This window comes from Homo sapiens, chromosome 1 (genome assembly GCF_000001405.40).
Source record: "Homo sapiens chromosome 1, GRCh38.p14 Primary Assembly".
Lineage (NCBI taxonomy): Eukaryota > Metazoa > Chordata > Mammalia > Primates > Hominidae > Homo > Homo sapiens.
The window spans coordinates 144,009,265-144,036,028 of NC_000001.11; the positions used below are offsets into that span (position 1 = coordinate 144,009,265).

The 26,764-nt window shown below is 41.5% G+C and overlaps 1 pseudogene across 1 annotated transcript in view; it reads left to right on the forward strand.

Moving 5' to 3' along the window:
- The window catches only part of SRGAP2D (SLIT-ROBO Rho GTPase activating protein 2D (pseudogene)), a 97,066-nt pseudogene that overhangs the window by 36,626 nt on the left and 33,676 nt on the right, over positions 1-26,764 (forward strand). The window lies entirely within an intron of this gene.

Consider the following 26,764-nt stretch of genomic DNA (forward strand, 5'->3'; position numbering starts at 1 on the left):
TGCAATGAGCTGAGATCGCACCATTGCACTCTAGCCTGGGCAACAGAGTGAGACAACGTCTCAAAAAAAAAAAAAAAAAAAAAAAAAGACATTGACTGGTCTTGGCAGTCTTTGGGTTTTATTCTGAACTGTGTAGAGTTGGCCAACTCAGGAATTCTAGACTAGGGAGAGAATTTTGCAGTGCTTTTGAGCATGTCTGTGTAAATGTGCTGTACTCATCACTATGGAATGGTTCTCCAGTTTGGCTGTAAACTCATGGAGCTGGCTCCTTGAAATGCTAGCGTCCTAGCCATGCACGCATGCAAGCAAGCAGAATTTGTTCACGCCTAGGCCATATGTGGATGTCACTCTTCTTCAGTTTCATATCCAGTTTCTGCTTGCCTGAGCTAGAAATGAAGTCATCCAGCACTCACAAAACCTCTGGCCTTAGAGGCTTAAAAACAAAAACAAAACAAACATAGCAACTATCCCATACCACCTTAGTGAGGTGGATATTATTGTCCTCTTTTCAGAAGTGAGGAAACTAAGGCTCAGAAATTAAGATACGTGCTCATGGTCACACAGGTCCTAGGAACAGGGATCCAGGATCCCAAAGTCTGCCTCTAAAGCCTATGCTTTTCCCATAGGGCTGCTGAACCTGACCTTTGCACTTTGCCATTTATGTTACTTCTTCCATTCCTTGGGAGTAAATTGAAATGGGTTTGGGTTGGCGCTGTGGCTCACACCTGTAATCCCACCACTTTGGGAGGCTGAGGTGGGTGGATTGCTTGAACCCAGGAGTTCGAGAGCAGCCTGGGCAACATAAGGAGACCCCATCTCTACAGATAATTTAAAAATTAGCTGGACTTGGTGGCGCCCACCTGTGGTCCCAGCTACTTGGGAGGCTGAGGCAGGAGGATCACCTAAGCCCGGAAGGTCGAGGCTACGGTGAGCTGTAATCATGCCTCTACACTCTGGCCTGGGTGAAAGAGCAAGACCCTGTCTCAAAAACAAGCTAACAAAAACCCCCCTAAAAACAAAAGAAATGGGTTTGAGAGAGAAGAAGAGAGAGAAACTTAACTGTGGGTGTTCGTAGTTAGGTACTCGTGGAGGACCACCTACCATCAGACGGGAGTGGCTAGCCCTTGTTTTCATTTATGCAGACAGACTTCCTTTTCTACCTCTGCTGGTTATACCAGGTACAAATAGGGATGCTGCAGTAGAGCAGAGGAGCTAAACGTGGCTTCCTCTGACTTACATAATAAAATAAGAATCTCCCCAATGGCCCTTTCCTGTCTGCTGGTCTCTGTGATGAAGTGGGCCACCCTAGGGACAGCTTCACTTAAGGGCCTCCCCAGGGTTATCAGGTCCACAAAGGGTCTTGGGATCAAATGTACAGCTAAATTGATGAGATCAATTCATTAAGATAAAGACTTCTACTTCCAAAGCAGTATGGTGCTTGGGTCAGTGTCTCTTGAGAAATTAATGTATAGATAAAATATTTCATATTAGGGAGAGCTCTGTGCTGCCCTTTCCCAAAGCTTTGGTTATTTGATGGGAGGGGAAGTCTTCTCGAACCTATGTCAGAATATTCCGCTTTGAAAGATGAGGGTTTTTCTTGAGGCTAGTTTTGTACCTGCTGTTTCTTTTAGAAATGATTGCTTTATGGATTTAAAAGGTGACCCAAATGACTTTTTTATTATTATTATTTTTTAATGCTGGGAGGAGTTTGCGTGTGTGTGTGTGTGTGTGTGTGTTTTATCTCCTTCAACTCTGACCACCTGGAAGTCAGCCTAATCTCTGCCCTCGTGTTGATCTTTAATTCAACATTTAATTACCTATCTTGGTATCCATATGAATTTGATTGTTTTTTTGGCTTTTTTTGAACTCATAAAAGGTATCCAAGTTCCTGGAGGGCATAGTGCCCATCTCCTCCCATCCACCAGTGGACATTCTTTTCCAAAAGACACATGGCAAGTACCCCTCACACCTGAGCTGTGGTGGTTTGGGTTTGTCCCCTTTGCTTTTGTTTGCAGAACACCTTTTACTCCTTTTGCACTTGATGGTTCTGTTGTACTTGTAAGGAAAATCAGTTGAAATAAAAAGATATTAAATTGAGAGACAAAAAGATGTTGCCACACTCCCAGTTAGAGGCAGACTTTAGTCTATATTTTCAGATTTATTTTGATTATAAAGTGTAGTCTCCCCCCGCCACCCCCTGTCTGCTTTTCTTTGTAGTTCTGTAATCAGGAGTCTGTTATTCTCTTTCCAATGCTATAATTAATAGTCTGGTCTAAAATATAAAAACCTCAAAGTTATTAATGGAAATGTCACTACTCACCTCATTTTTACAGAGGCCGCTTGGCCTCTAAGTCATTGAGTCTTTGGACAAACATCATTTAGCATTGACTATGTGCAAGAACTGTGCTGTATGCTGGGGATTTAAAGACAAAGAAATACAGTTTCTGCCTCTGAGCCGTGCATCATCTCACTGGTGAGGCTCACATACAAACAAACAGGCAGAATTCAGTGTAATTGAGAAATGTTGTAATTGAGTTATATATAGGGTTCTTATTTTGCACGTCTCTGTAGAGTAGTAGTTTCCATACTGTGCGGTATTTGCCTGTTCACTTGCCTGTTCCTTTGTGAGCTCTCGAGGGCCAGGAACAAATATGGATATAAACATGGAACCATGAGCGAATAGATGTTTCTTATCAATGCTCGGCCTGTCTTACGAGGTGTTCCATAGTGGAACCACCTGGGAAACAATTGATTTTGCATTCTTGTTTGTTAGCTAAATGCCTGATTTGCTTTTTAGGATTCTTTTAGGTTAAATCATATGAAATTACCATTTTGTTGATAATTTCACATGGTTCCATGTAATAAAAAGAGATCAATTTTACAGACTTCTGGTTTCAGGTCATGCACAGAGGTGAAGTTCTGCACAGGTACTGGGCATCCTATATGTATTTCCACTAGGTTACTATTTCCGAGTGTGAGTCTCTATTTGGAACTTCAGAGAGGGAGCCTGTGGCCCAGCTACTCCTGTGTCACTCAGCTCTGGAGTGGAATTCTTCTAGGTAGTGCCTGTTTGTAGACTGGACAGGGAATAAAACCACTACTCTGTGCCCGTTTATAAATATTTGCATTTACCTTGGAGAATGTACAAGACCTGGGCTTCATGCGTGTGTGAGAGAAAATAGCAAGTGAAAAGGATGTGTACACAGCAGCATGAATGGGGTGCTATTCTTAGCTGGGTCTCTAACCTAGAGAACAGGAAACAAGATGCTTCTGAATGTGGACTATGGCTGCCCTATGCTAGAGCCAAGAGGCTTCGAGTCATAGGGAAACTCATGACAGTTGCTAGTGTCCTTCAGACCTTCCTCTTTTGTAGAAAGTTTCATTCTTTGTGTGTCTCAGACTGAGATGGAGGAGGGGTGACTCTGTTTTCTAAGGGATCTAGAGAGAAAGGGCAGATGTAGTCTTGAGCAGTGGGCTTCTCAGCTGTGCTGCTTCTTCCACGGAGACCATCTGGATCTACTCGGTTGATGGAGCAGCTCCTCTCATTCTGAGTGGGTTTAGCATTTGAGAAATAGAGGGGCACCTTGGCTGACTGGACTAAACCTTCTTTGGCAATTTATAATAAATGCTCTCTGATTTATTGTTTATTCTTTCACATTGAGGTTGAACCTGATTTGCCTTTGAAAGTTAAGAGCAGGACTAGGACTAGAACTAGAAATGCCTGATGTATACTGTAGCACACAGTGGAGCGTTGTCCACTTTTTAGTCACTTGGTGACTACCGATTAATTGATTTGAATATATCAATGTCTGGCAGTTGGACCAATTACTCAGCTTCCCAATCTGATGGTGTGGTTGATAGAAATGTTTCCTGGTGGCATTTTCCCACAGGATTAGGATGGTGGTGGCATTAGCCAGGATCTCTTTTGTCACTGCCACTGTTACTGAATGATCTGTATTTTGAACTTTCTTGACTTAGTATAGTATTATACATCCAGCCCTTACCCTAAATGCTTATTATTTAATATTGACAACTTACAGGTTAATGTTTTAAATCTTTTTTTTTTTTTTAAGGCAGAGTCATGCTCCGTCACCCAGGCTGGAGTGTGATCTCAGCTCACTGCAACCTCTGCCTCCCAGGTTCAAGTGATTCTCCTGCCTCAGCCTCCCGAGTAGCTGGGATTACAGGCGCCCGCCACCACGCCCAGCTAATTTTTGTATTTTTAGTAGAGACGGGGTTTCACCAGGTTGGCCAGGCTGGTCTCAAACTTCTGACCTCAGGTGATCCAACTGCCTCGGCCTCCCAAAGTGCTGGGATTACAGGTGTGAGCCACCACGCCCGGCAAAACAGCATATCTTTAATTAGAACCCAACACGAGATGGTATTTCTTCAAAGAGGGCCTGAAATTGTGGTATTACCTCCAAGCGAACTTTATGAAAGGGATCGGGTCTGTATATAAACCATTTAATTTCTCCATTTCTCTAAATGGGAAAAAAAATTTGTTTTTGTTTCTTTTTTACTCAGAACACCAAGCCCATTCAGCCACCTCAAAAGAGGTTATAGCCAGGGCGCCCCTCTTAGAAGAAAAGACATTTTTTTTTTTTCCTTAAGATTGGTGCATGGAAGCTTAGAGCCTCATTTCACCACCTCTCCTGATTTGATATAGATTTATGAGAAATGAATATAGGGAAAATACCGGCTGTAGACTTGACAACTGTTAACTTGGTGAACAGCATGTTCTTGTTTATGTTAACTGTGTACTTTGACTGTTCAAGATCCCCATTACTTTTCACTTGTCATGCCACATCATTGCTGCAAGTTAGCCTCCTTAGATAAGATACATGGCAGTTAGCTATCTTCACCTGATGGGGAGGAATAGGGTAGAGAAAAGAATGTGACCAGCTGTTGTCAGCTTCTCCGTGGAAGTGGTAACCATGTCAGAGCCAGGCCCTGGAGACCTGGCTTGGAAAAGAATGAAGTTTTCCTACTAGGAACTTCTGTAGAGCCCTAGACCTTTCCATCTTAGTGCCGAGTTAAATGAGTCACGTAGCCTTCAGGTAAAGTCATTTCCAAGGGATTGTGAGAATGTGCCCAGGTTGGTTTGGACTGTGTCACACTTACTTGTACTGGCTTATCTTTGCTACTAATTTTTTTGTGTGTGTTATTGTTCTTCTAACTATTGTTGATGATTTGAGTGATGCGAAAGATTTTGATGATGGTAACTTTCTATAAGAGATGTAGAAGCAAGAGGCCCAGAGAATTGATCTTGCCCTTCATCTGACACATTGTGACCAGTTTGTTGAACATGATAAGGCCTGGAATTGTCACTTCGAATGTCTTCTTAATCTGGGAAATTTGAAGAGGTCTGCAGCAGGGAGGCTGGTCAGGGAAGTAACTTTGCAAAATAAAATCTTCATACTGATGCAATCCCAGAGAACTTGCCTTTGGGTTTGTGATTGCAAAGTGTTGAATCAGTCTTTGGTGTGGATACAGAATATTTGAAGCTAGTTGAAGTGTAGGGGTGTTGGGACAGGAGAAATGATGAGATGAAGTCTTATCAGAGGCTGAAGGTCACCGGATATTTTCCTAGTAAAGGTTCCTTTGATGTGGAATTTATCCGTTTAGCCCACCTAATTGGAGTTATCTGGTTTCTGTCCCTGAAGATTCTGCTGTTGGCCCTGGACTACTTAATTCTGTTTGCTCACCAAATCGGTGACATAAGTTACAAGTTATGAGATTTAATGTTTAGAGTATGGTTTTGGATTATAGGTTCCTTGCATTCTTAAGTTAGCAGAAGGAAACCAAGAGAAGCAGCATGGTACAAACAAAACCCCAAACAAGTGCTAATGTCAGAGAGACCTGGGTTCAAATCCTAGCTATGCCACATATAAGTTTTATCATGAGAGTAAATTGCGTAATCTCCCAGAACCTCAGTGTTCTTGTTGCTAAATGTGCACAAAATAACTGGCTATCTTATAGAGACGTTGTGAAGTTAGAGTGAGTGAAGGTGACATGCCTAGTAAGGACCTGGCACGTAGAAGCACACAATCAGCTTTAACTGTTTCTGTTATTAGCAGTGGACTTAGCACTGTATAAATCTGTCCCTCCATGCTTCCCACTTGCCCATTTGTCAAATGGACTTGACATTCCTTACTCAGTGGTTGACAGGGAGCCAAGTGAGATATCTGAGCTGTTGAGGATGGATGTGTATCTCAAGATCCTGGCATTCAGACTGGGGCTCTACAAGTCACACTATATTTGCAAGTTGTAGCAGAACTATATTAAAAACATGCCCTGCCTGTTTCCCCTCGTTGGTCCTCCCATTCAGAGAGGGGCTTTCTAGCCTTGTGCTTTAAATAGTCCTCAGACGGTAATGTAGATAGTAGATGAACACAATTCTTGTGAATCCATTTGCCTTGTGCTTGGGAGTTCTATTCTTAGACCACAATCACCGGAATAGAAAGCCTCCGACCCCACATCCGAACTGAAGCCATGTGGGCCTGGCTAATGGATTTCTTTGGGAAGCTGGGACAAAGGACCGGGTCTGCTTCTGTCATTGACTAGGCCAGGTATGGAGCAGTCCATTAGAAACCAGTCTCCTCCCAATTGTCTGGAGTTTATGAGCCTGGCTTACCTGGGATCATTTTCATGTTATGATCCTAATTAAAGTTCAGCCTGTTTACTCTGCTCCAGTCAAGGAGTTACAGGGGGAATCAAGGCAGATAAGATGTTTATGGGTGAACCCTGTTTCATTTTCCTCGGATCCACAATTAAAGAATTAACAGCACTTGTTATTTATTGAGCAGAACCGTGGGCGGGAGGAGGGCTTTAGTGCTTGTTTTGCTGCTTCTGTGAGCCCAGGGCTGCGCCAGCAGCATTTCACTTTTAATCCTTAGTATTGTTAGGCCTATACTTCCACCTATAGAGGTGGCAATTGAGGATCTTGACTTGCCCAGGGGTTCATGATCACGAACCTTCTACTACTTCATACCTTGAACACCATCTCTTCTAATAGATGGGCAACAATATGGTCATTTCTGTGAAGATACTGGTGACTTAAAAGCATTACTAAATGTTTATTAAACACTTGAATATAGTAATTATATATGTGAGAATGGATTCACATCTAGGGCTCCTGACAGTATCTGTCAAGATGCTGGCCCCAAACCCTGAGTTTGTCATGTTATGTGGGCATATTTGGTTGCCCAACTCTGAAGCCAAATGATGCCAGGGAGAGAGAGCCTCCATACTGTGGGGGTGTTTCTAAGAGCAGCCTGGTCCTTAATTATCCTACTAAAGACAGTGTCCTCTGTGATCTCAGACTCATAACATCCCTGTTAAGATAGGAGGGGGCTGAAATCATTTGTTCTCCTTCACATTGAGGGGAGACTCAGGCACAGATGAGAGACAGAGGCAGAGAAGTTAAATAATTAGTCCAAGGTCACATCAAATGATTTCCAACTCAGCTGATGAATCTGTCTAGGTCTCGGTCTCCAAATATTGGAGCTTCCCTTACAATGTAATTTGATCTCAAACACTTTACGTGTCTTATTTTTCTTCCTCCTTTTTCTATTTTGGTAAATAAGATGTTTTTTACACCTACTGCCAGATTAATGTTGGGTTTTAATTTAGCCCTTCAAGATGATCAATGACTTAACCGAGGAAACTGCTGCCAGAATGTAGTTTATAATGTACCTTTTTTCCTATACTCGGTTTTCTGCTTCTGTATTTTGTACATTGTCAGTCTCTGTGGGTTAAGAACTTTGGGACTCTCAAGGGTCATCTTGACAGAGGAGCTTCTGCAGTTGGGAATTGTTACCTTTCTCAGAGCAGTGCTATTGGGAAAAAAAAATCTAAGCATTTTTGTTCTCAGCTTCACAGAGGAAGTGAAGCACATTCAAGGGTAGCCCATTGGCTTCTCGTATAGGAATAGTATAGATTTGGCTTATTTTATTCCTTGCTTATTATAATATTATTATTCATAAGCATACCTTTTCAGTTACCCTCATGATTTACTATCTGTAAGAGCATAAGCTTACTGTTTGTGTAATATTTGTCCCTGTATTTTAGATGGGAGTTGCTGAGGTGGTATAAGGTTTGGTAACTGCATCCGGCCTCTCAGGGAAATAACCAAGTTGTTCAGATTCTTAGCTGTATTATGTGAAGTTGTTTGTCAGCTTCATTGCTTACTACTGTGAAATAAGTTATAAAGAGGAACTTTTAATAAAAATAAATGGATTCACTCAGGGGAGGGGTATTCATTGTTGGTGAAATATGTCGAGGACCAGATGCTTTTTGGTCTCCCAAAGACCTATCAAACTGCAGATCTTTTGGCTTTGTAATATATTCAGTTCCACATTTATTCATTCAAGATTTTTGTGTCCTCATTATGTGCCAAGTACTGGGTTGGACACTAGGTGACAGAGATGAACAAATCCCTAATCTTGGGATTTCACAGTGGATGTTGGAATTTAGTACCGTTTAGCTTCATTAGGTTCTGCAGTAGTCCCAAGATTTTCCAAGATCATCCTGTCCTCCAGTGTTCTATTGATTCAACTTCAGAATATATCCCAGACTCTGTCCCTCTTTACTCCTCACTGCTGTTGCCCTGGGTCCATCTGCCATCATCTCTCACCTGGATTATCTCAGTAGTTTCCCAACTGGTTTCCTTGTTTCCATTCTTGCCTCCTTCTGTCTACTCTCAATATAACAGCTAGAACAATCCTTTTACAATGGAATTCAGATCATGTTTACCCCTCTGTTCAAATTCTCCAGTGACTTTCCAGTTTTTACATGATCTGGCTCCTACTACCTGTCTCACTGTGTTTCCTACTACTCTCCTGCCCTTTCTCCTCTTAATAAACACTGGGCTCATGGTGTTTCCTTTAACATGCCAGGCATGCTTGACCCTGTCCTGTCTCAGGGCCCTGCTGTTCCCTCTGCCTGGAACATTCTTCCCATAGTGTCTGCATGGCTCGCTCTCTCACTGCTTTGGATTGCTGCTCAAAAGTCACCTTATCAAAGGCCTTTCCCAAAGGTTTAAAAATCATTCTACTATAAAGACACATGCATACATATGTTTATTGCAGCACTATTCACAATAACAAAGACTTGGAACCAACCCAAATGCCCATCAATGATAGACTGGATAAAGAAAATATGGCACGTAAGCACCATGGAATACTATGCAGCCATAAAAAAGAATGAGTTCATGTCCTTTGCAGGGACATGGATGAAGCTGGAAACCATTATTCTCAGCAAACTAACACAGGAACAGAAAACCAAACACCGCATGTTCTCACTCATAAGTGGGAGTTGAACAATGAGAACATACGGGCACAGTGGGGGGAACATCACACACCAGGGCCTGTCGGGGGGTGAGAGGCAAGGGAAGTGATAGCATTAAGAGAAATACCTAATGTAGATTATGGGTTGATGGGGGCAGCAAACCACCATGGCACATGTGTACCTATGTAACAAACCTGCACATTCTGCACATATATCCCAGAACTTAAAGTATAATTAAAGAAAAAGAAAAAGAAAAAAAAAGTCACCTTATCAAGACCCTCTAGGCTACTCTGCATAAAATATACCCCACTTCATATTTCCTATTTGATGTCTGACTCCCCCTCCTCCTTCACTAAAACGTAAGCTCCATAAGGGAAGGGATTTTGTCTGTTTTGTTCTGTTGTATCCCTAAATACCTAGAAGGTGCTCAGTAAATATTTGTTGGTTGAATGAATAAATCAGCCTATTATTTAATCAGTCAATGTCCTCTGTAAAAAGGACTTCTCATACCAGTGGCACATATCTGTATGATGGTCAGTGTAGGGAGGGACATGGTCAGAATGGCTCTGTCTGTGTGGGATAGTTTTTCTTAGTATAATCCCAGAAGACTCCTATTGGGGTTAAGCCACAGATTTAGCGTTATTAGTACCACTCTTTAATCATAAAGTCAGAGGATGTTATGACTGGAAGGGATCTGGGGGACTGTTTGGTCCACTTTTCTCATTATTGATGTGAGAATAACAGAGCCTAGAGAAAGTAAGTGAATTACTCACAGTCATAAAGCTGTAGGGGTCAATCTGAAATTAGGCTTCTGACATACGATTCTGTAGTCTTTCCTGCATGTGTTCCCCCTGGCTGAGACAGTTTGTGGGCTTTCAGAGTTGACAATTTTCTCTCCAGTCTCTAAACAGGAGCTTTTATCTGGACATTCTAGGTTAGCATAGATGGACGATGACCCTGTAATGTGTGGAAAGTCCCAAAGGGTGAGCACTGTGAATGGGAACTACCCCAGATGTGTCAGGAGCACCACAGACACGCTCACTCTTCCATTGGCAGGAGATGTGTAGGGTGGAAAGGAAACCAAAATCAAGACCCTTTGTTGCTCCAGTTCTTTTATTACATGTCACAGTCGAATGTGTCTCCATTTAAATTCAGATTTTTTGATGAATGGCCAGACCAGCTGCAGGCCCTTTGGGCCAGAAGCCTTGATCTCGCCAACTGTTCATTTTCTTGATGGGCTTCCTTATTTCAGGCATTTGTGTGTAGCTGGTCTATTGTGGAGTTGTCAGAGGGGTGTAGAGCCCCCTCTTTGGGACAGTCAGTCCTCCCTGTGCAGCATGTCCTGAAGCTGGCCTGCCTCCATCCTCTTTCTAAGTGTGTGAGGTCTTTTGTTAAACAGGGTAAAGTGAGGGAGGACTCCTAAAGAGAGAAAAACTCCTCCAGCATTTGCTGGAACATGTTTGTGAACTGAGCAAGATGTAATTGGGATGGCATAAAAAAAAGACTTACATTTACTTAATTTCTTGCTGTCTGGTTTGTGATATATGGTGCCCCAAATTGAGGTTAGAAGGAGCTTTGATCATATGTCAAGGAGGTGTCATATTTAATTCTACTCCCTGTGGCCTCTCTTACAATACCAGTCATGCATAAAGCCCGTGGTTTTGCTGCATCTAGTTTTACTGAAGCAAAGGCTCTGCACTTTCATAGTTTACACTGACATATTTCTAGTTTGCATCTGAAGTGTACTCTGAGGATGCTGACTTCCAGATAGCCATTTTTGGGTTAAGGGAAGTTCAAGTCTCCTGAGTATAGTAGCTACACCACCTGGAGAGCTTCATTTTGGTTTGGTGACAAAATTTATTTTAGCTTAGTTTTCTTACATTAGGTGGGCAAAATAAGAAAGGCCAGAAAAGTTTAGGACAGTTTTCTGAGACACTCAGCAAAACTATGAGGCCTAGAATTGAGAACTGGGTATTACCCTGTAGATGATGTCTTTTCAAGCTGGGCTAGTGGAGTTTCTGAGCAGCAGCTGCATTCTCCTTGTACATCTTCAGGTTTTGTAGGATTACCTTTAGCCCTCTAAGTGATCAGATCCGCCTCACTGTCACTCATGGGAGCCCTTGATCTGGACAACGTGGACCTTGAGTAGCTGAGTTCAAACAACTGAGGTGGCAAGAGGGATCTCCCCCTTGGTTCTTTTTTTTTTTTTTTTTTTTTTTTTTTTTTTTTTTTTGAGACAGAGTCTTGCTCTGTCGCCCAGTCTGGGGTGCAGTGGTGCGATCTTGGCTCATTGCAGCCTCCGCCTCCTGGATTCAAGTGTTTCTCCTGCCTCAGCCTCCTAAGTAGCTGGGATTACAGGCACCCACGACCATGCCTGGCTAATTTTTTTATTTATAGTAGAGATGGGGTTTCGCCATGTGGGCCAGGCTGTTCTCGAACTCCTGACCTCAGGTTATCCACACGCCTCAGTCTTCCAAAGTGCTGGGATTACAGACATGAGCCACCGTGCCCGGCCCTTATATATATTTTTTAATTGAAGAGGTAGAGAAGCAATCTCAAGGTCAGGACAACTTACCCTGAGGTTCTCACTTGTCAGGGATTGTGCTGGATTCTGACTTAGGTTCTGCCATCAAACACAGAATGCCCTGATCCTTAGAGGCAGAGGCAGCTCTTTAGCCTATAGGGTAAATAACCGGGAATGGAATTCTCACCAATTCTTATCTTCTATGCTAAAAGTTTTACTTTAAGATTTAGGCCTGCTTTTTTCTTTCTCTCTGTCTCTCTCTCTCTTTTTTTTCCCCCAGTAACAGTTTAAAATTGGTGCCTTAGACGCAAGCAAAAAGATATTAGCACAGCTTTAGAAATAAGTGTGAGTCCGCATGTAATTTTTTAGTTTCTCCTCTCCCTTCGCTTTTTGCTTTCTTGGTAGTATGCTAATTGTATTCTTTTTCTGCATCTTTTTTCCCCATTCTTTGGCAGATATTATTACTTGTCTTGAAAGAGTAGGTGAAGAGCTGTTTTTAGGACTCTTTGAAAGGGTACAGTATGGATGACAGTCTTGGCTAAATGTAATCAGATCCAGGAAGCTGGAGTCAGTGTGAGCTGGAATCAGTTCAAATTAGCAAAGCACTGGCTCTCAGTGGCAGGAATACAAGTGACCACAAAGTGTTAAACACATCTGGAAAGGGATTCTGACATCATCCTGAGAATCTTTGGGGAATACATATAGCCTGTAGACCCATTCCTCTTTGACCCTATAAAGATTCTTTAAAGAGTAATACCCTGAGTGGTTTTCTGGCCAGCTTGCCTGCTCATTTATCTTTGAGGAGATGGAAGGAGACAATATGCCTCGTGGAGATCCACAGGCCCTAGAGGTGTATGGATTGAGCATTTGGAAGTGCTGAAGCTGAGAGACTGGGTCTCTTGGTGGACCCCAAGGGATCTGCTTTTCCTCTACTCATTGTCCCTACACAACTTTTCCTGGCAGCTGGCATTGCTGTTTAGATGGGTTGTTCTTTGCTGTTTAAGTTGTTTGGCAGTGGTGTGTCAGGATGCGGGTTTTCTGAATACTTTCCCAGCTGGTTACTTGAGTGGTGGTTAGGGAGGGGCTGTTCTGGGGCTGCTCTGGAGCTGTTGAGGTCGGGTGTCTGTCTGGATACTCACAGCTGGTCTGTCGAGGAGAACGCTGTTCTCATTCTGCTGCCTTTGGTGGTGCTGTGTGTGGCTCTTTAGATGTGGGTGGAGATGAGTTGGGGGAGTTAATGAGATCTTTTTTTAGCTGCTTTTGATAAAGTAGTCTGTACTACAGGATTCATTGTGACTTTTTCCCTTAACCTGTGCATACTTCTTTGCTAGCCTTTGTGAAAGAGAGTTCAGGCCCTCTTGCCCTCTTGCTCTTTCGCTCTCTCTTGCCCTTCTGCCTTCTGCCATGGGATGATGCAGCAAGAAGACCCTCACCAGAGGCAGGTTCCTTGACCTTGGACTTCCTAGCCTCCAGAACTGTAAGAAATTCTTTTCTCTTTTCTTTTCTTATTTTCTTTCCTCCCTCCATCACTTCCTTCACTCTCTCTCTCTTTCTTTCTCTTTTCTTTCTTTCTTTTTTTTTTTTTTTTTTTGAGGCGGAGTCTCGCTCCGTCCCCCAGGCTGGAGTGCAGTGGCTAGATCTCGGCTCGCTGCAAGCTCCGCCTCCCGGGTTCACGCCATTCTCCATTCTCCATTCTCCAGCTTCAGCTCCCGAGTAGCTGGGACTACAGGCGCCCGCCACCAGGCCCGGCTAATTTTTTTTGTATTTTTAGCAGAGACGGGGTTTCACCGTGTTAACCAGGATGGTATCGATCCTTTTTTTTTTGTTTTAAATTATGCAGTCTGTGGCATTCTGTTATAACAGCATGAAATAGACAAAGGCTCCATTTTCAAGAGCAAGCCCTTTTGTAGTTTCTGAGCTAATTATGACTGCAGAGGAAGTTCTATAGGTAGCCTCAGATCTACCACCTAGTAAATCTGCTACTAACCAGACCTAGAATCTAGGATTCTAGATCAAGTGCTGGGCAACATGATACCTCTGCAACTTGGCACCTCCCTATATCCCTCCAGTTGGTTTGGCCCATCAGGACTAATATTACCCCTCATATCCTAGTCTCTCTTGTAGGCAGAAGCCTTGCCTAAACCCTAAGCTGCTTAGCTCACATTCTGTCTTGCTTTTTCTGTTTTTTTTTTTTTTTTTTTTAGGAGGGGGTTCAAATATAAAATATACGGGAAAGAAATATAATGAACCTCCATGTACCCAACACCCGGATTAAACAGTTATCTCAATTTTGCCAGACTTGTTTCATCTACTTCAATCTCCCTAAACATTTACATTTGTACAGGAAAAACTGGATAAATACCTAATTCTCCACCCTATCTCCCATTTTAAGTCATTTTTCAGAATAATGAGTTAGTGACTAGTAACCTCCACTGTAGTGACCAATAGTTTTTTTTCCTGAATATCGTAATGAGCTCATAGATTATTGTTTGCATTTGAGCCCATTGTAGTCACTATTAATTGTTTTAGATGCTCATATTGTCTCAGGTTAATAAGTATCTCTTCAAGTTGACTCCCATGGCCTTTTGACGTGATCCTGTTGGACTTGGATGGCTTCCTTGCTTTCTGGCAAAAAAAAAAAAAAAAAGGTGTTCCAGGATCTATATCCTGCACCATACATGGAGTCAGCCATTTCTCTAGGGGGTCTTGATTCCTTTTAGTAGAGAACACAGTTTGGGCTCTAGGACTGAATTACTTTTGTGAACCTCCTCTCCTGCGATTACAGCCTGCACCCCTGCTTATAGCCAGTAGAAGCTCTTGTTGGGCATCAACAGATCGAAAATCACCATGTAGTTCTGCCTCACTCTTACAAAGATTCATCTCTTGAGAATTTTGTGCTCTACCCCCGTTGTAGTCTTTATGGTTTTGAAACTTTTGCTTCAGTCACCCTGAATTTTGCCAGCCATAGACATGCCATACCTTGGATTGCCAAACTGCCCTCACTGGAGCCAATTTCTCTGGTTAGAATAGTTGTCCCAACTCATGCTTAATACTCTAGTAAGCAAGGTTCCACCTGGGCTCAGGTTAACTTTTCTCCTTTGGGCCCTGTGTTCTACCAGCATTCCATTTATCTGAAACCCTCCCTCACCTCATCAAGATCTTATCTGGTCTTTAATGATTTACTCTGCTGCTTCCTGGGTTCTAAAGAACCCAGTTCAGGAGTTCCTCTTTCAGTTCGAGATCTTATTGGCCTGTCTCGTCAGGTTGGTGTCAGCCCAGCTAGGATTAAGCAGAATGGGGTTGGGGGTTGTAGTGCACTTTTGACACAGCGTGTACCTGGCTGACTACTTCTCTGTCTTTTTTTTCCTATTGCAATTCATGAGTCTCAGCATCTTCTGAATGGTGTTTAGTAGGTCATCATGTTGAGTTCCTGCTCTAGGGAGTAGCATACTCTGGCTCTGTATCATTGGCAAAGGGATTTAAGGTTAGATGATAGGCTGCAGTTTTGTTAAATGGAACAATATGAAGAGATGGCATTATAAAGAGGCTTGGCAGCAGGGCCCATTTGAATGGTTGGTTCTTGATTCCCATGTTGATATAGGCAGATCCTTGACAGGAATTTTGAATGGTCCCAAATGTGGTAAATCGCTGGTACATCAAGTCATCCTCAAAGTTGTCTGTGTAACTGTGTTGAATGCAGTTTTGTGAATCTCTGGTGATTGTCTGTATAGGGCTTCATCATTTAGTTATTTTAGTTGAGCCTGTTTAACTTCTTCAAGAAGATAAGATATGTGAAAGAGATGCAGACAGTAGGGAAAAAGCTAGGAGCTTTGCTCCCCCATCCTCTACTTGGGTTCTGGAACTGGACTCATAGGTGAGTAGTGAGGAGCTGGGCTCAAGCGAATTAATCCCGGATCTAGCTGTGCTATGTGTTCGCTCCAGTCCTTGTGTCAAAGTTCACTTTGAGCCACTCAGAGTAGCGTGTAGAGTGGTCATTCAGGACTGTGCTAACTTACACTTCATTGTATCAAATGGGAGATCCAGTAATTTATAGTCTATTATTTCTGGAGTCTGGAGATGACTCTGTATAAGCTTTGCTGAAGCAGATTTTATTACATTAGAAGAGAACCTACCTGGCTGCATCCAACACCAGAAGCTTTTAGATGCTAAGTAAGGAGGTCATAGTAAAGGTAACAGAATGACTCTGGAACCCATTACCCCACCCAAGAAGGGGAGTAATGAATTCCGGGTTGCCCTCTTTTCATTTCCCTTTGATTTTGAGTAATAAATTCCCTTCTTACTTCCCAGCTGAACAATTTGGGAGTCTGTATTCCCTAGAAAGACTGTTCACATACCCATCAGACTAAATTAGGTGAAATCTCTTTGGCCTTAATGAATGTTGAAGGATTTTAAAGGGCTAATGGAAATTCTTCTAGAAGTAACAATTCCCATTCTATTGGTGAGGCAGTTCTAAAGAAAGTCCCTGAACCTCTTAGGTTATTTTGTACAGCAAAAGAACCAGCATTGGGTTTTCTTTGCTAATAGATGACAGGGAGAATGTAGACACTTGGAATCCATGGAGAATCCCTAAGTTGCATTTTAGCCTTCATGTTATGTCTCCTTCCCTAACCTTTTTACCAGAGCTGATCACAGGAAACAGCATGATAGATTTGCATGACCTAGCTCCCTGCCTTCTCCTGCCATTCTTTTAGAAAGTGGTGAGTGGCTGCCTGCCAGGTAAAATCTGGGTGACAAAATCCAAAGTTAGATTCAGAGTTATAAGCATAGCCCCCACCCAAGTTGCTTCCAGAGAAAAGAAAGGAAGAGTGTTGTGTAAAATCTTGCTTCTTTGCCTTTAAATTGGGTACTTATTGAGTTACCACATTAGAATCGTGCATTGTGCTAGTTGTTGTACTCCTGTTGATTGATTAATTTCATTCTACATTCATGGAACACCAACAATGTGCCTGGTACTATGCTGAGTACCTGAGATAAAAAGATAAACAGGAGTTGGTCCTTACCACTTAGAGCTCACAGTCTACTACTGCGAGAGTGTGGGAAGGTGTGATAAGAGCTATAGTGGTCTTGCCACATAATTTGCATTTGTATCTTAAAGCCAGTGGGGAACCATGGAAATATTTTAAGCAGGGGAGTGACATGATTCATTTGCATTTTACTTTTTTTTTTTCTTTTATGAGACAGAGTCTTGCTCTGTCGCCCAGGCTTGAGTGCAGTAGTGTGATCATAGCTCACTGTAACCTCAGACTCCTGGGCTGAAGTGATCCTCTTGCCTCAGCCTGTTAAGTAGCAGGGACTACAATTGTGCACCACTACACACTGCTATTTTTTTTTTTTTTTTTTTTTTGAGATGGGGTCTCACTCTTGTTTCCCAGGATGGAGTGCAGTAGCGTGATCATGGCTTGCTGCAGCCTCACCTACCTGGGTTCAAGCGATCCTTGTGCCTCAGCCTCCCAAGGTGCTGCGATTACAGGTGTGAGCCACTATATTTGGTCTCATTTGTATTTTTGAAAGATCACTGGTGGCAGTGAAGATACCAGTGGGTTGGAGGGAGGGAGACTAGAGGCAATAACAGTTTAGATAATAGATATTTACTGAGCCCCTGCTAAGTGCCAGGCACCGATCCAGGTGCTGGGAACCTAGGGGGTGAGTGAATAAGACAGTCTCTGCCCTCATGGAGCTTACATTCTAATAGTGGTAGAGTAGTGTGGTGGTAGGAAAGCAGACTATATATATATATATATATATATATATATATATATATATATATATATATATATACTATATGTATACATGCAACAAATGATATTTTTTCAGATGGTGATAAGTAATTTGAAAAAATAAATAAATAGAGCTATGGGAGTTAGAGTGTTTGGGCATTGGGATGGGTACTAATGGGAATGGGCAGTGAAGGCCTCTCTGAGGAGGTGATATTTGAGCTGAGGCAGCTATGAGAAGACCTAGGCAAGAGTGGTCCTGATGGGTAGAACGGCAAGTGCAGGGACCTAAGATGTGAACAGGCTTGGCACGGTGCGTAAGCACCGTAAAGATGGTCAGAGTAGCTGGAGCATGGTGGAGCCCAGAGGAGCAAGTAATAGTCAGTTGAGGGTGGAGCACATTCTAAGCCATGGGAAGGAATCTGGATTAATTCCAGTGGAGTAAGAAGCACTGTGATTAATTAAATCAGGGGGTCAGCAAACTACAGCCCATGGGTCAAATCTGTCCTGCTGCCTATTTTTATGAATAAGCCATATTGGAACAGTCATACCCATGGGTTTGTATATCGTCCATGGCTATTTTTAATGTTACAAGAGCAGAGTTGAGTAGTTTCAACAGAGAACATATGGCCCAGAAGCCTAAAATATTTACTATCTGGCCTTTATAGAATGAGTTTACTATCCCTGAATTAAATGATCTAATTTAAGTTTTGAGGAGACACTCTGGCTACTGTTGAGATAATTAATGGTAGGAGACAAGAGTATATCTGAATAGTTCAGATAAGAAATAACTAGATGTTGAGCCACCAGAAAGCAAAGATCACACCGTTTTTGTTCTGTTTAAAAACACCTAGGTATGCTTTATACTCATTAAATATTGTTGAATGAATGATGAGATGCTGAATAAGGGAGTGCCAGTGAATATGAAGGGGAAGTGAGGTTTTGAGAAATATTTAGGAGGTAAAAAATCAGTGCAGCTTATTGTTGACAAGGTGAATAGAAATAGGAGTAGGACAGAAGGAGGACTGTAGATGCCCTTCAGGCTTCTGGTTCAGGGATCTTGGTGCATGGTTGGTGTTCCATGAACCTAGAATGAAATTGATCAATCAACAGGCTATTAACTGAGACAGGAGAAGTGGAGATACAAAGAGCATACACTGCCAGGAAGAAGGAATTAATCTTTGGACATGAGACTCCCGGGACATCCAGGTAGAGATGTCTAAAAGGTAGTTGGAAAGACAGAGCTCGGTGGCATGATGCGTAGACTTATGGTAACCAGAATTCTGGAGTCGTTAGCTAGTGTGGGCTCTCCTAAGAAGGGTGTGTGATGAGAAGGTCAGGGTTGGATTTCATAAGGCATTCATTTCCATTACATTTTGGATCCAGAGAGGAGGCAAAGGTAAACTAGCTGTGTGGACAGTTTGCATCAGTCAGTCAGTCAGATCATCCCATGACCATGGCATATTTTTTCTGCAGAAGCTGATAGGCTCAGATGAAGCCTTGCCTTATCTGTTCCTCTGGCTGCCAACCTCTTTCTCTTAGTTGGGTTGACTGGGGCAGTGGTGGAGGTTTCTTCCCAGACTCTCTGCTAAGGTTGGAACATTTGTGGCCTTTTAATTCTGTAGGTGATTCATATTTGCATTTATCTTTTTTTTTTTTTTAAAAGAGACAGGGTCTCATCCTGTCACCCAGGCTGGAGTGTGATGGCATGATCATAGCTCACTGCAGCCTCGACCTTCTGGGCTCGAGTGATCCTCCCACCTCAGCCTCCCAAGTAACTGGGACCACAGGTGCGTGCCACCAAGCCCAGCTAATTTTTTATTTTTTGTAGAGACAGGGTCTCCCTATGTTCCCCAGGCTGATCTCAAACTCCTGGGCTCAAGTGTTCCTCTCACTTTGGCTTTCCAAAGTACTGGGATTACAGGAGTGAGCCAACATGTTTGCATTTATCTAGTTGAGGCTATGGGTAGGTAGAAGTGTCTAGTTGTTCTTGGTGTTTTGTTAGAGCAAGAACTCTCTGACCCAAGGGTTAGGTAAGTGGCTAAGTTTTATTAAACATTGTTAAATATTAATAAATTTATTAAATATTATTAAATATTATTAAATTTATTAAATATTGTGGGTTCTTTTAACCCACAAAGCTAGATAAACCCATTAGAAGTCCTGAACAATAGCTTCCCCTTTCCTTTTTGTCTGGGGAAGGGGAACCACAGAAATACTTAATAAAAAAGCACTTGTGCTGAAAATGGTCTTAAAACTGGATGCAAATCTCCCCTTTACAGAAGTTCATTATGAAAATCCAAGGATGAAATCAACATTGTAAAGGGAGTAGGGAAGGAGGACCACTCTCTATCCCGCTCTTCCACCCCCCTCATATTTTTTCAGCATACTGTCACACCTCTGTTGTTTGTACATTTTTAGAAGACACTTTTTGAACACATTTTAACCCCGTCTTACATATAATATTCAAATTTTAGGGTCCCATGTTTTATGAGTTTCTCCTTTTCTAAAGAAACAGTTGAGTAATAGTTTTGCTACTCCTCTAACCTAAATTATTCCTGTCATGAGGTTAGTGACTTCTGACAGGCAGAGGTAAGTAGTTTAAAGCCTGATTACCTAGTCCCAAAGTGGACGAAATGGAGCCTTGAACCAAATAAATAGGTAGTAAAGGTAAATTTAAAATATGAAAAAAATTTTTTTGAAAGGCATATGTTGACGAGTATTATTTCCACTCCTGTCTGGTCCACCCTGTAGAACCCCTGCTCCTTATTGTGGGTGTCACTCTTAATAGTTCCTTATATATCTGTGCAGTGTTTCTTTATGTAAATAAAAGGAGATATGAACATATGTTCTTACCCCTCCACGTTCTTTTACATGAAAGGTAAATCATTATCTAACCTGTTGTGTACTATTTTGTCCTTAACAGTATGTCTTGGGGATCTTTCCTTGTTGGTACAGAGAAAGCTTTCTCATTCGTATATCAGAGCTGCATAGTATTCCATTGTGTGGATGGCTGCCTCCTACTTTATTGAATCAGTTCCTTACAAATGTGCACTTGAGTTGTTTCCAGTATTTGCTATTACAAGCAATACTTCAGTGAACAAAGGCAGCTTTTTAAAGGGTCGCACAGCACTGCATATGCTACTTAAAATGAGATTATTATTCTTCATTCTTAGAATGCCAGTTGGTTTTGTTGGTTGATAAATTCCCAATTACTCGTATTCATGAGTGCAACATTGATGATGAATGTGACATCCCTTCATAACTTAAGAATCATTAGTATGACTGCCCCATGGAGGCATACTGTTCTATCTCAGGTTTATTTCAATAATAAAACCTTTGGAAATTTTAATAATGAAACCTACTTAAGACCCTTTGCTTAAGAAGTCTGAATCACTGATCACTGCAATTACTGCCATGGCAGCTGTAGAGCAATTTAACAGGATAATAGTGAATAAGATAAATTACACTTCAGATTCTTAATGGATTGATGTGCAGAAGTATGCAAGGGAAGATGGGGGTGGGAGAGGAGCACCTTTAAAATTTCAGCACACAGTAATAAAATAGGGAACTGGGCCATTGTAGCCGTTACTACTAGGAGTTAGTAATCTCGTACAAACCTCTGGGGCTCTGTGGTGGGTAGAATGTCCTGTTTATTATAGACAACAAATTGGGTTAATTCTCTTGTTTGTGTGCCTCTGTGGAGTGGGTGGAAATTCTAGGTGACTTGCTAATTGTCTTATTTGGAATACTCCCGTTTCTACTAAAGAATTAGTATCTTTGGTATAAAAATAAGGAGGCAGACCAGTTTTACAAATAGCTGCTGGCCAGGAGAATAACAGTTTCTGCCAGGTGAGCAGTTAAAAAAAAGGCAGACTGGAAAAATAACTGTGGAATGGTGTTTCTTATTTACAAGGCTAACATAAAGTCTCCCTGTGTGTTGGGGATGGGGGAGGGGACGGATTGGCTAAGAAGTAAGTACGGTGCTTGCTTTGTATGTCCCTCGATTTGTGTTTAGGGGAGAATAGTGAGGATGTGGTCATACGGGTAGGCGTGGGGCCCGAGGAAGGGGTCCAAGGAAGCAAATCCAGGAGACTTGGCTGCAGTTCTACCCTTATGGGCATTCCTTGGCACTTGGTCACACTGTGGACACCTCAATATCTGCTGGGTATTGATCTTGTATACCTTCATTCTCAGTACAAAACCCTTAGCACCCATTATCTCATTCTTCCCCACCAAAGCCCTTGGAGATGAAGAGCAGGAGAATGAAGTCTTTTCTCTCTTAATGTTTAATCAGCATTAACACACCTTTAAGTGCCATTGGATTTAGAGCAGTGTTGTTATTAAAGCAAACTAAATTGTCTTGAAGTGTAGAAAGCACTTTTAGAAAAAGAAGCAAGGTTAGGCTGAGAGAACAAGACAGATGAAGTTACTCCTCTGAGCTGGAAAAGATCTTGTGTCAAAGGAGGAAGCCTCAGAGATAATCTGGGCCAGAAGATTCTGTGTTCAAATCCTGGTTCTGCCTCTTGGTCAAGTTATATAACCTCCGATTTATAATTATTTAAATCTGTAAAGTAAAGAGAGTGATATCTACCATGCAGTGTTTTTGTTTTTTTTTTTTTTTGAAATGATTAAATGAGATAATAGAAATAAAGTTGGCCCTCAATAGGTGGTAGCTGATACTATTAATATTATTAACAGAGGGTCTTCTAAAGAATCTCATGATAGTTTTGGAGCAAAGGAAGGCACTCTCTTTTACATGAGGAGATTGGTACTTCTGGCAGTAAATCAAGAGGGCTGCCTTTAGGGTTGGGAAGCATATTGACAGTATTGGAGGAAGGTGTTAGTTGCCATGGCAACTTGGGAATTCATTTGGAGGGAGAGTTGTGACTGGAGGTTATCTCACTGTAAGAGACTGACTGGTGGAGATTAAAAAAAAAAAAAGCTTGTCTGGCAGGAATGAAATCTTTCTTGCTGTATATCTGCAGGAAATACCAAGAGATGTGCTCTAGAGAAAGTTCCAAACATGAGTCAGAATGATGTGCAGGCCTTCTTCGGTAATGGGTGGTTGTGTCTTAGTGGGCCTAAATGCTGCCACCAGTTGATTGCTTTTGTTCGCATGTATTACTTTGGTAAAAAAATAAATGTATGAATGGGATTTCAGTGAACAGGGTTTTATCGTGGGTTTTTTTTTTTTTTTTTTTTTTTGTCTTCTGAAAACATGACGTCAAATTGTTGGATATTTTCCTACAGTTGGTTTAGTCCCCAAGAAGGTTTTAGTAAAAGAGCATGAATACAGAGCGTACCTGAATCATTTACCTTGTTCCTAAGGTAAATGACATAAGGAATACAAGTATTTCCTTTTGATTGGGCAATTAAGACTTTTTTTTTTTCCTATAAAGGTTCTCCTGATAGTGCCACTTGATTACTGATTTTGAAAAGCCTCTTGGTATGATGTACTTAATGTCCATTGTTAGTTTGTCTGCTTGTTTAGTACATCTGCTGTTATCTGTTACCTTCTGATTGCAGCCTTGCCTGGAAACAGGGCTGGACCAAATGAACCCCTTAAAACAGCAAGATTCTGGAGTCGCTATTTAATTTTTTACAGGCTTCCAGTGCTTACTCACATCTATTTCCTTCCTTCCCTTTCAAGTTAGGGGTACCATTTGACTTGCATTGGCCAGCAAAATGTGGCCATACATGGCAATTCTGGGCAGAAGCAGTTGCCAGTATGGGACAGTTCAGTGCTCTCTTTTCTTGCCTTGGTGATGGTGAAAGTTTGTGAGCAGGTGGAACCTCTGTCAATCTGAGCTCTTGACCTACAATGATGGAAAGATTGCCCCTCCCTGACCCTTGTTGGACACACAGCATAAAAAATAAATGAGCTTTTGTGAGGTTAAGCCACTGAAATTTTGGGGGTTAGTTGTTCATGCAGCAGAACCCAGCCCATTCTTACTGCCTTAATAGTCATTTAATACATATGTATTGAGTATTTAACTTTGTGCTGGGCACTGTTAGGTTGGGGATATAACAGTGAACAACACAGAAGTCTCTTCTCTAATGGAGATTACATCTATGAGGGAGACATAATAAATAAACTAAGATAATTAAATATTGAGATAAGTGCTATAAAAGAAAATAAACAAGATCATGTGATAGAAAAATCTCCAAAGAACAAAGAGGCTATGAGAAGGAAATGGGAATCCCCCAGGACTCTTATTAATGACTTTTAATATTTCCCTATATGTCTTAAGACTCTGGATACTTCTAGAGTAGTTTCTTATGCCTTGGAAAGGGGATAACACTGAAGGCAAGAAAGCAATGTGTTGTATTACTTGGTAGCATGTGACAAAATTAAATAACTAGTGTACTCCAAAATAAATGACAACCGAGAATGATATTAGTTTGCTCTGCATCTTTAGAAACTCATTAGTGTCCTGCTGGGTTTAGTGGAAGATGAAATCTGAGCTTTGTTTATGTGCTGTGTTAAGCCCCTCCCCGAGGGCATCCATCTTCAGCATTCAGACTTTCCAGAGATCTAGTTGCTTAGTAGGTACTGATCCAGTTTAATTGTATTAACCAGACTCTCACACTGGGGAGAAGTGGAATGCAAATTGATGCATAATGCTTATATCTTGCATAATATAATTTTGGAAGGAAATAGAATGATGGCATATTTCCTTAAATCTTAAATGCTCTCCAGTGAAAACTTTGAGAATGGTTATAACTTTTCTGGAAGAAACATAGGGATAGAGCTCAGGTCTGATCATTGAGGAACATTAGGTTCAGTGCCAGTTGGCAATGATGATTTACTTTGTGTGACCGTAAGAAATCTCTTGGTACGAGGGTGGGCAGCACCTATTCTGCCTTGATAGGAAGAAATGAGAAAAGTGTTACTTGGGAGTTGTAATGGGGAAAGGAGAGCTTTATCTGCTTTTCTTTTCTTCCTTTTCTTTGGGGCAAACCAAAGCAATGAGAATAGGAGAAGGTCAGGAGAGGAGGCATGTCTAAATGACAGTTATAAGGAAGAATCAATTCATTCAAAAACTTTGGGCACTGGAAGAGTATGGGCTGTTTAATTCTATGTCCAAACTGGGAAACATGCTTTTGCTACTGCAATGAAGGGAATTCAGAGTGATGTGCATGGTGACATTTGCCCCTCATCCATCAAGCCAGTCTTATGATCATCCCTGGAGGAAGATTGAGAATCTCTAAACTGGGGCTCAGATTTTTCTTTCTGTCTCGAATATTTTAGTCATCTCATGTTGGCACATACTCTAAAAATCTGATCTGGGTGAAACTCCAGGGAAGTAGGAAAAATTGATCAAAGTAAGAACAGCATTGAAGACACACACATCCTTGCAAATATATGGGTTTATTGATACAGTGTAAATTTCCGTGCCAGGACACATGCCAACAGTTTAATGATGTGTATATAGCAAAGTCCCTTGTTAACCCCATTCAGAAACTCTAAAATGAGTTGCAAGGCTGAAAGTATTGAAGCCAAAGGCCAAAAACAATGATCATGTTACCTAGGATCTCATGAATAATTCAGCTGAGTTTAATGCTTTTTCCATGGTGAAACTAAAAAGCTGAAATATTTGGCATAATGTAGACAAATTGTACCCCGCTTCCTTTTGGGAGGATGGTTGGTCATGAGGAATGTAAGGAAGGGTGGAGAAAAATAAGGAATCTTTTCATATTTGTTTTAACCAAATATATGGAATCTCTCAACATTCCACCTCTAAAGAAGTAAAAATATAAAAATTCAAGTTGGGGATTTAAAGATGTTCTCTTTGAATGTTCATTAATAGCTGAAGATTTGGGCTTGAGAGGCACTTAGAAAATTGCTCCTAAAGTCCTAGAAAGACGGTCACAGAAATACCAAGAGAGAAGGAATGCTTGATATTCTTGGTGATAGGAATCACCAAGAATAGTGTATTGGTCTGTTTCAGAAAAATAATAGTAATTAGAGATGAACAAAAGAGCATGTGGATATTTTTGAAAGTTGTGTGCAAATTGAATTACTGTAAATCTAATCATAATTTCAAGGCATTAGAAAAGCATTATAACAAAACCTGCCAGAAGATTAGAATTATTTTTCATAAAGTGAACGTGTTTTTTTCTCTCCAGCTTAATTTTTAAACCTAGGTTTTGGTATATTGATTTAACTTAAATTGAGACCTCTGCCATTCAGGGGATAAAGCTCTGGACATTCTACATCCTTAGACTTCAGTTCTTGCCTCTTAAATAGGTAAACTCTCCTATTTCTTTCTACTTTTCTCCTAAAAATAATGAGAAGATAAGCAAGTTAATAGAATCTAAGAATGTTTGAGCTGGAAGGTGCTTAGAGATCATCTAGTGCAGGTCACTCATTTGACTGAAACTAAGACCTAAAGAGGTTATGTGACTCTTCAGAGTCTCCAGTTATAAAAGAGAAGGCAAATTATTATGAATAGGGCAAACATAACTCAAAGAAGGCATTCTTTTTATTAAAAAATATGGGAAAGGAAACAGACCTGGCTGGCATGGCCCATTGTTTTCATTCTCTATGTTTCTTTTTTTTTTTCTTTGAGATGGAGTCTTGCTCTTGTTGCCCAGGCTGGAGTGCAATGGTGCGATCTCGGCTCACTGCACCCTCCGCCTCCTGGTTTCAAGCGATTCTCTTGCCTCAGCCTCTCGAGTAGCTAGGATTACAGGCATGTGCCACCACGCCCGGCTAATGTTGTATTTTTAGTAGAGATGGAGTTTCTCCATGTTGGTCAGGCTGGTCTTGGACTCCTGACCTCAGGTGATCCTCCCGCCTCTGCCTCCCAAACTGCTGGGATTACAGGCATGAGCCACCACGCCCGACCTTCTGTATTTTTTATTGCTTAAAATATGATGAGATGCCTGGACATTCAGCTGCCATCTTGTGATGTGAAGTGCTGTGTTAACTCACTGAAGAAAAATAGATGGAGCCCTGCATCCTTAATGACAATCATCAAGCTGCCTTACCAGCTATGCTTGTCCCTCCTCCAGGTTTCTTCATTGGAGGTCTTCTTCTGGATATCATGGACAATATAATTCCATAAGGAATAATCCAAAATTGGGACAAAATTTTGGTAATCTGTTTGAAGTCAGTGGAGAGCTAACAAAGCAGTAGGATATTATGGAGCCAAGATCTTGGAGAACAAGGAAATTCGAGAGTGACATTGGGACAAACTTTCCCCTAGAG